Raw genomic sequence first — 12,821 nt, 5'->3', positions numbered from 1 at the left:
TAGTTCATCATTCACAGAATTTGGAGCCAGGTATCTTGTATTTGAATTGGAATTTAAGCTTCAACACTTAGTTGGTTTTGTAACGTTCAGCAAGATACTTTTTCTTCATGCTTTTGTGATCTCATTTATAAAACTAAGATAGTAATAGAACATACTTCATGAGTTATTATGAGTATTAAATGGGTTCATTCATGAAAAGTGATTAGAATAGTACTTTTTGCTTTGTAAGTTCCTGGCAAAAGATTATTTTAATTAATAACTAGTTATTATTATTGAGTTTTGAAAATAATAAAAATGTATTTTCTGTGCTCTTCTGAAAATACCCAAGCAGTCAGACAACACTTTAAAGATATTTGAACAACGAAGAGAAATAGTGGGAATGCTCATAAAATAAGAATTCAACTTTAAGACCATATGATTTAGTTCATAAACATCATAAGGAAATGCAGGCTGCATAATGTAAAATTCATGGAGAGTTATGCTCAGGTTGTCACAATAGCATGGTAATAGTTCCTGGGCAATTAAATTTTGTGATTGAGGGGGAGCATTCCCTATGAATATGGATTTCTACTGAAGTTGCTTTGCAAGAGGATGTTTTTTAACATTGATTCACTGTGTTTTGTATATTCCAAGCAAAGAGAACAAAATGACTTGAGGTCCCTAAGCATGAAAGGCATGGACTTATGGTCTGGTATGAATGAGGAAGAGGGTAATTGGGATTGAAATTGGAAAATTGCAGGCTAGAAGCATGGCTTTTTGCCAGACTTGATCTGATAGTTGCTGAGGAGCTGCTGATGGTTTCCAGATTGAGGAATTATGTGTTACAGATTGTGATTTAGACAGTAGACAGCCAGCAATATGGATAAAGTGACTGGAGTGAAGTAAGAGCCCAGGAGAAAGGAGGGAAGGTCAGATGGAGGTGCCGGCACCAGGCCAAATGATTCATGATCAAGAACTGATCTGAGACTAAAAATTAGAATGGACATGAAAAGTATAAATTCAAGAGAAATATTCAATGGTTTGAATAAGTAAATAATTCCTCCTTCAAAGAAGTCCTAATTCTTCTTAATTCTTCCAAGACATACAAAAAAGTCTATAACTGCTTATATCTTATAGAGTGTAGAAAAGAGAATGCTTGGTAATTATACATTTATGTAACCTGGGTATACATCTTTGTAAATATTATTGCTCTGCCCTCAGCCCCCTACCTGAATTCTACCCAAACACAGAAGGGGATTTGTCTTCCAATCTTCAAGTGGAGTAAAGGATGAGGGGTAGGCTGTTTCTGGTGGGAAACCCATGAAAGTGTGAGGCTTCCCTTTATATTGGCCCTTCCGGTTGTTTTTTGTTTGTCTTTCTGTTTTGTTTTTAGTGTTTTGTTTTTTTGTTTTTGACAGAGTCTCAATCATTCTGTCATCCAGGCTGGAGGGCAGTGGCAAAATGTCAGCTCACTGCAACCTCTGCATCTCTGTTCAAGTGAGTCTCCTGCCTCAGCCCCCCAAGTAGTCTTATATGGCAAGACACCAGCCAAAAGTCCGGACATTTTTTTTGAAGTGAAGATTTAGAATTCATTATGCTGGAGTATATTCATACAAAGCATTTATTTATTCTTTACTGTTGCTACATAATGTCCTAGTAGGCTGGTAATAGCTGAAACACCTTCCCAGTATGTTATTGGAGTGGCAAACCTTTCGTTTAGAAGGAATACCCTGGCCAACTGTCAGATCACCTTGGAAATGTTGAAGTCTTCCAGCCCAAGAAATGAAGATGCTGATCTTTATTGTGTATTATGTGTGATAATAATAAATAAGTAGCCTGATATGATTTGTCGTCCTGTTTTGCACATATTTAATGGCCGAGGTGAAACCAGATCTGCAACTTTTAAGGTTTGTAAACATGATACTTCTATTTTCTGAAACAAATAAGTTATCCCTTTTCCTCACCTGTTCTTTTTGCAATGCCAAAATCTTTGCTGACAGTTCACAATGGAGCTAATTTTTTTGTCTGGTTTTTAGAAACCTAATTGACAGCCCACAGATAATGGACTAGAAAGTGGTGTATGAAATGAAAACTATTGAGCAGGAAACACTCTGCCTTTTGACTATAACCATATTTGATACATGGTCTCTCTTCAATTTAAGTGTATTATCTTTACATTGTCCTGATAGAGCAAACATTATTTATAACAACAAGGATAAATATTCTCCTTCTGAGCTACTTTTTTTTTTAGTGTTAAATATCACAAAGCTAGGGCTAAAATATTTAATAAAATCTTCCAAATTTCATACAGAGCAGATGTTTCAAACATAAGTCTGTTACAATGTGTCAGGCTGAAGGGTGTCCCCCCACCAAATCCATATGTTGATGTTCGAACTTCAGTAGCTCAGAAGGTAACTGTATTTGGATACAAGGTCTTTAAAGAGATACTTAAGATTAAGCAGTTATGATGGTAGGCCTTAATCCAATATTACTGTTGTGTTTATGAAAGATGAGGACACAGATACACAGAGGGAAGATCATGTGAGGACAGAAGGATAAGATACAAACCAAGGAGAGTGGCCTCAGAGGACACCAACCTAATTGATACCTTAATCTTGGACTTCTAGCTTCCAGAACTGTGAGAAAATATGATTCCATGGTTTAAGCCACCCAATCTGTGATACTCTGCTATAGAAACGAGTAGACTAATACACAGTGCATGGATGCACACAGAGGGCACTTCCTATTTGCCTCTAAAGAGAGGCCTTAGGTTGAGACTGAAAAATAAAATGAGACCATACATTATTATACCGAAAATGCATCAGATTTTTAGTAGAGATTAATATATCTTATGTTTTTCCAAATGTTAGCCCTAGAAATAAGTTGCAAATAACTGAAATCATATTCACATCGACAGGGCTTAGTTATTGACCTTTTAATTCTGGACATTTTAACTTTTCTTTTCTTTTTTTAACCCAATTGTTGCTTTGTTTTGTTTTGTTTTGTTTTTGTGAGTGGGAGTCTCACTCTGTCACCCAGGCTGCATCGCAGTGGCACAGTCTTGGCTCACTGCAACCTCTGCCTCCCAGGCTCAAGCGATCCTCCCACTGCAGCCTCCTGGGTAGCTGGGACCACAGGCGTGCGCCACCACACTCAGCTAATTTTTTGTATTTTTGGTAGAAATGGGGTTTTGCCACGTTGCCCAGGCTCGTCTTGAACTCCTGATCTCAGGAGACCTGCCCGCCTCAGCCTCGCAAAGTGCTAGGATTACAGGCATGAGCCACCATGCCCGGCTGATTGTTGCTTTTTTTTTTTTTTTTTTTTTTGCAGTCAGAAGTAGAGGTAAAATAGACTGATTTGCTATCTTTGATTTTTCTCTCATTCTATTTCACATACATGATACATAGAGGGAAAAACTTGAGGTTTAGATAATTATACATGTAAATATCAATTCTGCCACTTGTTAGTGCATAAACTTTGGAAAGCAGTTTAAATTATATGAGCTTCAGTTTCTTTCACAGTATAATATTCTTTAAGTATAATATTCATGGTAGGAGCCTATCACTCTCTCAAAGATCAAATAGCTAATCAAAATTATTCATTCTTATTCTGTAGTTTAACAGGCACAGAGTTTAAGTTTGAAATGATGAAAGCATTCTGTAAATGGATGTTGGTAATGCTTGCACAACAAAGTGAATATACTAAATACTACAGAACCGTACACGTCAAAATCGTTAAAATGATAGATTTAGGTTGTGTATATTTGCAATAATAAAATAATGTTTAAAAATTATATGTAGTAGGTACCTTTGTCCTGCATAACTCAGACATAAATATTTGCAACTATTTCCATATAATTATTAAGTTCCAAACATCACTATGCTCTGCTCTCTTTAGTCGGTAGAACTGGTAAATGAATATAAAGATGATACTGACTTAGATACCTGGTTGGGTATTGTTAATAAAGCCAATACTATTTTGTTTTTTAAAAAGATGCATACACACTAAAGCACTCATTTAAGCAGTTCTTCCAAAAGTTACCAAAGACCTCCATGTTTTAAATACATCATTGGCCCACCCCTTAATTGTCTTGTCAGCAAGCCTCACCTTTGTTACCCACCTTTTCCATGAACCATTTTTCTTGTAGGCTTCTAAGACTGGCTCTTCTGATCTCTTGCTTCTCTGACTCTTCCTTCTCCTCTTGGCCTTAAAATACAGCAAATCCTGAAAGTTCTGCCCTGGGCCATTGCATCCCTCTGATCTATAAGCTTGCTTTCAGAGCTGTCTCATCCACATATAGAATCTCTACTACCCATCTATACACAGAATTCTTACAGATTGATATCTCACCCCAAGACTTTTTCTCTGTGTCAAAGACCCTCATATTCTATTGCCTTTTCGGCTTCTACCCTTGCCGAGCTCCTTCTCAGGCTTCAGGTCTCTGCTCAGTTGTTACCTCCTCAGTGGTAGCGACTTTAACTACCAAATCTATATAAGTTTCCTCTCATATTCTGTGCCTTAAACTAATTAGCCTTCCCTTCAAATTACATTAGAATATTTAAGATTTCTCTGTTTACTTTGTTCTTAAATTTTTATTAAAAAAGATAGTTACCTTGTCCATATCTACCTTGTAATTATCTCATTATTAACCTCAGTGCCTAGTGTCTAGACTATAGAAGACATTTAGAAAACATTAAGAAAGCCTTTATCAAATGAATGAACAATTTACAGAAATTATTTCCTAATGAGAAACATGCTGGCTTGATAATAATTGCATTATTTTTAAGTAAGAGGTTTTTAAGATAGATAAACTAATAAAGAACATATACCAGAAAAAGAAAAATAAATCTGGCTTAAAAAGATGTTTTCTAGGGTTTCTTTAATATGATACATGATCTAACAAAGTTATATGATGAAATTAAAACCGAGTTTTAAAATATTTTTATAGAGAAATATTTTGAAATATAAAATTTCATGGTAACATTATAGAATCCAACTATATGCAGTCAATTTAAGTAATTACAGAAAAAGTGAGTATTAGAAGCCATTATTTTTCTCTAACTTTTAAAAAGTTATTTCTGTATTAAAAATCATATCTCTCTAATAGGCATTCCTTCCCTATTTCCATTCTCTAAACACAAGAAACCTTGGAAATTAAAACAAAGCCTTAGCTGGAACACATTAGTGCGAACTGGCCCAAGTGTTTCTGTTTTTTTTCTGAGCTAGCCTGTGAATTTTGATTTTAAATGTTAAGGTTATGTCTGTTTAAATCTTTATTTTAAAATGCATACCCTAGTTGCTTTCAAGGCAGGTGACCAGGATAACACTCTTTAAGAAATATTATATGAACTCACTTTATTTCATGTCGATATGGCTCATTTAAGGACTTGTTGATTTTGGAGTCCACAAATTAAAGGCCCTACTAATTGAAATAACCACAGAACTGAAATTCATCTTTGTCCTATTAAGTAGGATAGTACTGAATTTCAGAGAAAACTTTCATTTAATCTTAGATGCACATAAAGTTAACTCTGAGAATGTTTAAAAATACTGGCAATTGATGCCAAACCCCAAAGAACCTGATTTTTCGGGAATGGTATTGAGCTCAGATATCAAAAGTTTATGCAAGGTTCCCACATTATTCTGAAGTGCACCCAGGGTTAAAAAATAAGAAGTTATATAAACAAAAGCTGAATATGCATATTAAAAGACAATGTTTAATACTAGGAAAGATTATTGGCTTATATATCAATCATATGGTATGTATTTGAACACAATCTTAATAGCATATTTTCTTTAAGTTACTTATAAATTTATATATGTATCAAACAATTATGTAACAAGGCTCATTAATAGAAAAGGGAATCATATAACTGGACTCAATGATACAAAACAGAAAATGCTTGTATTAGTCCATTTTCTTACTGCTATGAAGAAATATCTGAGACTGCATAATTTGTAAAGAAAAGGAGGTTTAAGGGACTCACAGCTCCACATGACTGGGGAGGCCTCACTGTCACAGCAGAAGGTAAAGGAGGAGCAAAGTCACATCTTGCATGGTGGCAGGCAAGAGAGCATGTGCGGGGGAACTGCCCTTTGTAAAACCATCATAACTCATGAGACTTATTCACTATCATGAGAACAGCACAGGAAAAATTCAACCCCGTGATTCAGTTACTTCCCAATGGGTCCCTCCCACAACACCTGGGGATTATTGGAGCTATAATTCGAGATGAGATTTGGGTGGGGACACAGCCAACCATATCACTGCTTTTCAACTTTCTCCAAGTTACTATGGAGACTTTAAAAACTGGGTGAGTATTATCTTTCATATTTCTTCTAATCTCTCAATCAATTTGAAATCCTTCTTAGTTCCACTAAAATAATTTTATAAAGTGAACTGTCAAAGAAATGCATTACATGATTTCACTTTTTAAAGCAATAAAAATGCACCTTGCTGTTTGCTATTGCATCTGGAAGCTTAGAGTCAGTTTAATAGGCTGGAAATAACAGTTGAGTTGGATTAACATGATTAGACACATGGGGAAGATTGAAAATAAAAAATAATTTTAGGCAGAGTTATACATTCACCTTCAGAGTATTAACTGTGATTCCTATAAAAAACAAAGGGGCATTGAATTTTTTACATGAAAACAGTATAGTCCATATATAATATTTTGAAATGTGTGATGCTAAGTATATTTTGAACCGAAAGTCACATTTATCTTACTTTCTTTTTGTGTTAGCATAAGGATTTCAATCATAATATTGATAGACAGATTGACGTACTCAAGGCTTATTCTGAAGTAGAAAATATCCCTCTTAGAAAGCTGCCAAATTTCTGTTAAACAACAGCCTAACTTATCTTAATGAAACTCTTTCCTTATCAATCTGTGTTCTCTTAGTTAGATGATCCAGAACCCCACTCACATTCTGCATGCATTGTAATGTTTTTATCTCTAATCAAACTTCGATATTTCTTGTCTTCCATTTTCTCTGAGTCTTTCTGGGAGACAGGAGTTAAATTGATGTGCTTGTAAATGATAATGTTAATCCTAACTATTTTCACATAAAAGATAAAATTTCCACATTTTCATATCTAACAACTTGTTTGCTCTTTTCAAGCAACTGTAAATCTGGCATGATGACAGAATTTTACATAGGAAAAACCACAACTCAGTGTTTTCCCAGGAGTAAATTCTGATTTAGGCAGCAAGGCAGAATATAGTAAGGTAAACAATCTCTTGTGCTCTTCTCTTCCACCCAGCTCCAACAATTAGAAATATTTAGAAATGCTGATCAAATATAACCACAGATATAATTCTAAGCTAAAATGAAAGTGAAATTCTAGGTGAAGAGAAACATAAAGCCACAGGGGAAAAACTCCTGAGTATGGGGACAATTTCGATGGCTCATTAACATCCATTCAGGGATAGAAGTTGTGGCCTTAGGGCTACAGAGGACTGGCTTAGTGGCTTAGTTCCTGGGACTAAGTCTCCTGCATAACCAGAGACAGTAAGAGATGATCTCTGTTTAGAGATAGTAAGAGATGATCCCTGTTTATAGCCCTGTTTAATATGTGTGAATGATAAATATCTTAAAATACCCTCTACTATCTCCTTTTTCTGAATCCCCTCATTTAAACAGCCAGTTTCTCGAGTACTGAAATGATGACACAGGTCTTTCCCAGTCCCTGACAGTATATTTATTTTAAGATGAGGTTGTCTTTTGTTATGCTAGGATAACTGTTTAATAAATCTCACATTTTGTGAGTTTTCAAGAAACTAAAAACTGTTGGAGTAGAAGTAGCTATGTTTGTCACTAGGCATGTATTAAAAATTGGACAGACATGCTTTTATATATTGATTTTGTATCACTAAGTTGTCTAAGAGCATAAGCATCTGAAAACACTGGGGTAGAGGGGTAGTAAAACATGGCAAGAAGAGAGGTATACTGAAATGGGTAGCACAGACACCTTGGTTGTTTTTCATGTTCAGTTTGTTACCTTCATAAAACATACCCCTAATTATTTGTGTATTTTAATTAATAAATGTAGAAATACACATATAACCATTTCTTTATTTTTTTCGACCTTATATAACTAGCACATAGCTTTATTTCTGACATAGAAGTATTCAAAAGATTGTTTTCTCAATAAATGATTTAACACACTATATATGTATGTGTATATATGCTCTCTCTATATTATTTCCCTTTATGGCAGTGAAAGAAAGTTACAAGCTATTGTACTGTCAGAGAAACATAAAAAGCAATATATCAAATTATTCTTTCTGTGGATATCATCTTGGCTGAAACTTTTCTCTCACAGGAGTCCAGAAAGTCACAGATTACTGGGTCAGGAGTGAACGCAGCCAGCTGGCAGGGAGCAGTTTAAACATGTTCTTTACTTTGCATATATCTGTGGTATAATGCAGAGGGAAATGGTTGATGTAATAAGGGTCAGGCATGGCTTGGACAGAACCAAAGCTTATGCGGCTTTGAACTGCAGATGTTAAATTCTCAGATCAGGCATGGTGCCACCACAGTGGTTACTGTATTTTTGTCCAAGGAACACACGTTCTCTTTATTCAAATTTTGGCTGTTTGTACACCAAAACAGATCAAAAAGTATAACAGTCATAAGGAATATTTTGCCTTAATTAATTTATCATATTTCAGCACACATTTTAAGAAGTAATGTATCACCACACTTAGATGCTGAAAACAAATCATGCATTATTCAGTATAAGCTTACCAGTCAAAAAAGCAGGATCTGAAAATACATTAAACAATACGGTGTAAGTAAATATTCATTTTATACTGCTTGGTACACTTGTTTTGAATCTACAGGTCACTGTAAACACTGAGGTTCACTAGAATCAAATGCCTCCTGATGATGCAGGCATGCTGTAAACCCTCCACATTTTAATCTATGCTGGATCTTACAGTTTATTCCCTTTCCTTTTGATTTGCCTTCCTCTCCTCACAACCAGTCAACAAATACTTCCAAGCTGCTTTGCTATTAATATTAAAGTAAAATGCAAACTCTTACCAAAAAGATCCTATACAACCAGACGGCAAATACTTCTCTAACATGACTTCTTCCCACTTGTATCTACTGACCATATTCTGACCACATTTTCCTTTTTTTAGACATGTTTCTCTTTCTCGAATATGGCAATTTAAATCACAGCTCTGAGACTCTGTTCCTGCTATCTAGAATACACTTTTTGCAGTAATTCACACAGCTATCTTCCAATTAGTATCCATGTCTCAGTCCAAGTCTCACCTTCTTGATGACATATACCTGATCATTCTTGTTTGCTGCCTTCCAGCCTATATGATACCATCTATCATATTTCCTCAGTTGATGTCCTTTATAAAACTCAACAATATCATGCATTTTCAAATTTTTTTTGTTTCTTTGTTTTTGTACACCTTCCCTCTCTTTAGTTTGTCATTTATTTTAGGGCAGGTACTGATTTTGATACGTTACCTCTATTTCTTTCAACAGTGACTAGCAGATGGAAATATTAAATAAATTTTTAAAAAGAAGCAAATTACACCATAGGAAATATACTGATGTTCTTTTAAATGACATGCCAAGAATTATTCTGGAATATTTCAATGTTTTTATAGCATTTTGAGTTAAATAAATTTAAAACCCAGATATAGCATTCTTAAAGAGTACACAACTAAGGAACGTAAAAACATCATGTAATTATAATGGAGAGAGGTGAGCCATGAATTCTTTAAACTATAGTTTTTGCCTTTTGTGATCTGACCACAGCATTTCTTCCTGGCTTTATGGCTGAGGTTTATGGGCCTCGCACATAAATTCCAGAAGCTTCTTTGGACTCAAACATTCACTGTCCTAAAAAAGACCAGAAACTCTTGAAAGGTACAAGGGAACTGTTATCACAGACTCCTCTCACATATAACTTTCTTTAGCTCTGGACTGGCTTAACACTCCCATTCTTTTATTTTACAATATATGCCGATTTTTCTGTGCCCACAGATTCTGTGCCCACAGATTCAAATTTCACAGAGAAATTTGAATCCTAAAAATGTGTCTTCAATATGTATTTAAATCTTATACTATATTTATTCTATAACTTCTCTTTCAAACCTATGTATTTGTGATTTTTCATAGTGTGTGTGTGTATATATATTTACACTTATACATATATGTATAGGTTTCACTAATTTCAAATTATGCATATGGTATCATTAGGTAAATAAACAAAAATAAATTTCTGCATTTATTTTCCCACTGGAAGACATTAAATTACTTTCAAATTTTTTTTTATTTCAAACATTGCTATAATTGATATTCTTATGCTGTAATCCAGACATACATGAAAAAGTGCAAATACTACTTTTTAAAATTTTGTTCTCAAAAGTGATTGTATCAATTTAGAGTGTATGTGCACATCTGTTCCCTAGTTCTAGCATCAAACATTTTCATTTTCTAAGTTTGTTTACCACGTTTACCAAACTTGTCAATTGTTTTTTATTAATATTTTCCATATATTCTGTTTAAGTTGAACATGTTTTTTTCTTTTTACCTTCCACTTAAGAATGGAATTACTGAACTATGACTGTGGCCAGCTTCACTAGACACAGCAAATAATTTGTAAAAGTAATTTATCTAGTACCAGTGCACTGACTTTATAGATTAATTGAAGTAGAATTGATATCTTTATAAAATTTAACAACCATCAACATGAATTTACAGATTTCATATTTACTCGGGTCTTGTTTACTACTCCTTCAATACTGTTATGTTATTTATAAATTTTGAAATTATTTAATATTTTTCTCGGTAAATATCACATATTTTATAATTCCTTTTATTGTTCTCTTGGGTTTAGCAATAACATTTTTAATTTGGTCCTTGCTGCTGTATTTTAATTTCTTTGAATTTTGTTTGATTCTTTTTGAATTTTAGTAATTTAGAATGAAAAAATTGCTTTTCTTTCTTTTAGAAATAAATATAAAATATTTAAAGACATTAGGGTTTTATTAGAGTTTAATTCATAACTTTAACTTATTTCTGAGAAATATAAGAAAGTAGAAATACTTTAATTTACATATCCCCTTTTATCTTCTCTATCATGACTGTCTACTTTAACTGTTTAATAAAGTATAGTGTACATGTAAAAAAGAGCACGTCACATAGATTTGCAGATTGAGGACGGTATTCAAACTGGATACATGTATAACTAACACTATCCACAAACCAGAATTCCCTTTCTTGCTCTTACAAAAATGGTAGTAGAAATAGTCACAGAGAAGACCAGAAACATAAACAGGATGCCACAGAAAGATTTAAGTGACAGTTTAAGGAGTTTGTTATTTAATCAGTAATTATTGAGACACTTTTAGAGTTTTCTAATTTAATCATCACTTTTGATCTGAGAGTGAGGCAAGGAGGCTGACAATTCAGAAGCTGTGTTGGAGTGTATGAGAGAGGTGTGTTTTAAGGGCCCAAACTGAGGTCATAGAGCAAATTACAAGAGGAAGCATCCAGCAAAGATATTACAGTGCTGGAATTTATAGGGTTCCACAATTGATATAACGTTAGTGTAAATGAGAGGGCACATGGGTGAGGAAGATGAGCTAGAAAAATCATGATTACAATAAAAAACTGTGGAATCAAGACAATAAGGTGGGCTGAAAATTTAGGATGCAGGTGTTATATTCATGTGCAGGTAACCAGCTTTCAAATAGAAATACATCTGGGATTCAGAAATAAGGTAGGTTGCTAGGTACATAATTAATAAATGTGTTATAAAAAGCATAGTAGAAGCTATGTGTATGAATGTGGTCACTCAAGTAGAAGGTGCAGAAAAAAAACAGAATAAAGGAATGTTATGAAATTCACAAGTCATACAAAAAGAGTATGATGAGGAGCCTGTGGATGAGTATATGGAAGCATAAGTGGATTATCAGTGAGATAGCCCAGATGAAAAGGAAAAGAAGAATTTCCACGAGGCAATTGTGTCCACAGTATGAGAAACTACAGAGTATTTCAGAAAAAAATAAGTGAGAAAATAAGTCATTTAATTTGGTGTCATAAGTTAGACTTCTTTTTTCCCTGCCTTTTCTATAAATAAATTGTGTTTGATCACTTTCCTTGTCACAGCCCAGAAACAGAGTCAGCCTTTAGTTATAGTTTACTTCCCTCATGTCAACACTGTAAAATGTTTTATAAATTCTATATTATAAAAACAAATTAATTATTTTGTTAGGCAACATTTACTTAATTTTCAATGTAGAACAATTATTTTTCTGTGCACTAGTTATAATGATAAAAAGACAATTCTCTCACTTTATACTTAAATTGTTATTACTATTATTATTATTATTCTGAATTTCGAGATGGAATCTTGCTCTGCTACCCAGGCTGGAATGCAGTGGCACGATCTCGGCTCACTGCAACCTCTGCCTTCCGGGTTCAAGTGATTCTTCTACGTCACCCTCCCAAGTAGCTCAAACTCCTGACCTAAGGTGATCCACCCGCCTGGGCTTTTACACTTAAATTGTATGTGGAAAGACACAAAATTACATATAAATATTTAGGGAAAGGCTGAGCACACTGACTCATGCCTGTAATCCCAGCACTTTGGGAAGCTGAGATGGGCGGATCACTTGATGTCAGGATTTTGAGATCAGCCTGGCTACCACGGCGAAACCCCATCTCCACTAAAAATACAAAAATTAACTGGGTGTGGTGGTGGCCACCTGTAGACCCAGCTACTCGGGAGGCTGAAGCAGGAGAATTATTTGAACCTGGGAAGTGGAGGTTGCAGTGAGCTGGGATCACGCCACTGCACTTCA

The sequence above is a fragment of the Homo sapiens genome, chromosome 11 (genome assembly GCF_000001405.40).
Source record: "Homo sapiens chromosome 11, GRCh38.p14 Primary Assembly".
In the NCBI taxonomy this organism is placed as follows: Eukaryota; Metazoa; Chordata; class Mammalia; order Primates; family Hominidae; genus Homo; species Homo sapiens.
The sequence above is the reverse complement of the archived record's forward strand: the minus strand, read 5'-3'. Positions refer to the sequence as shown.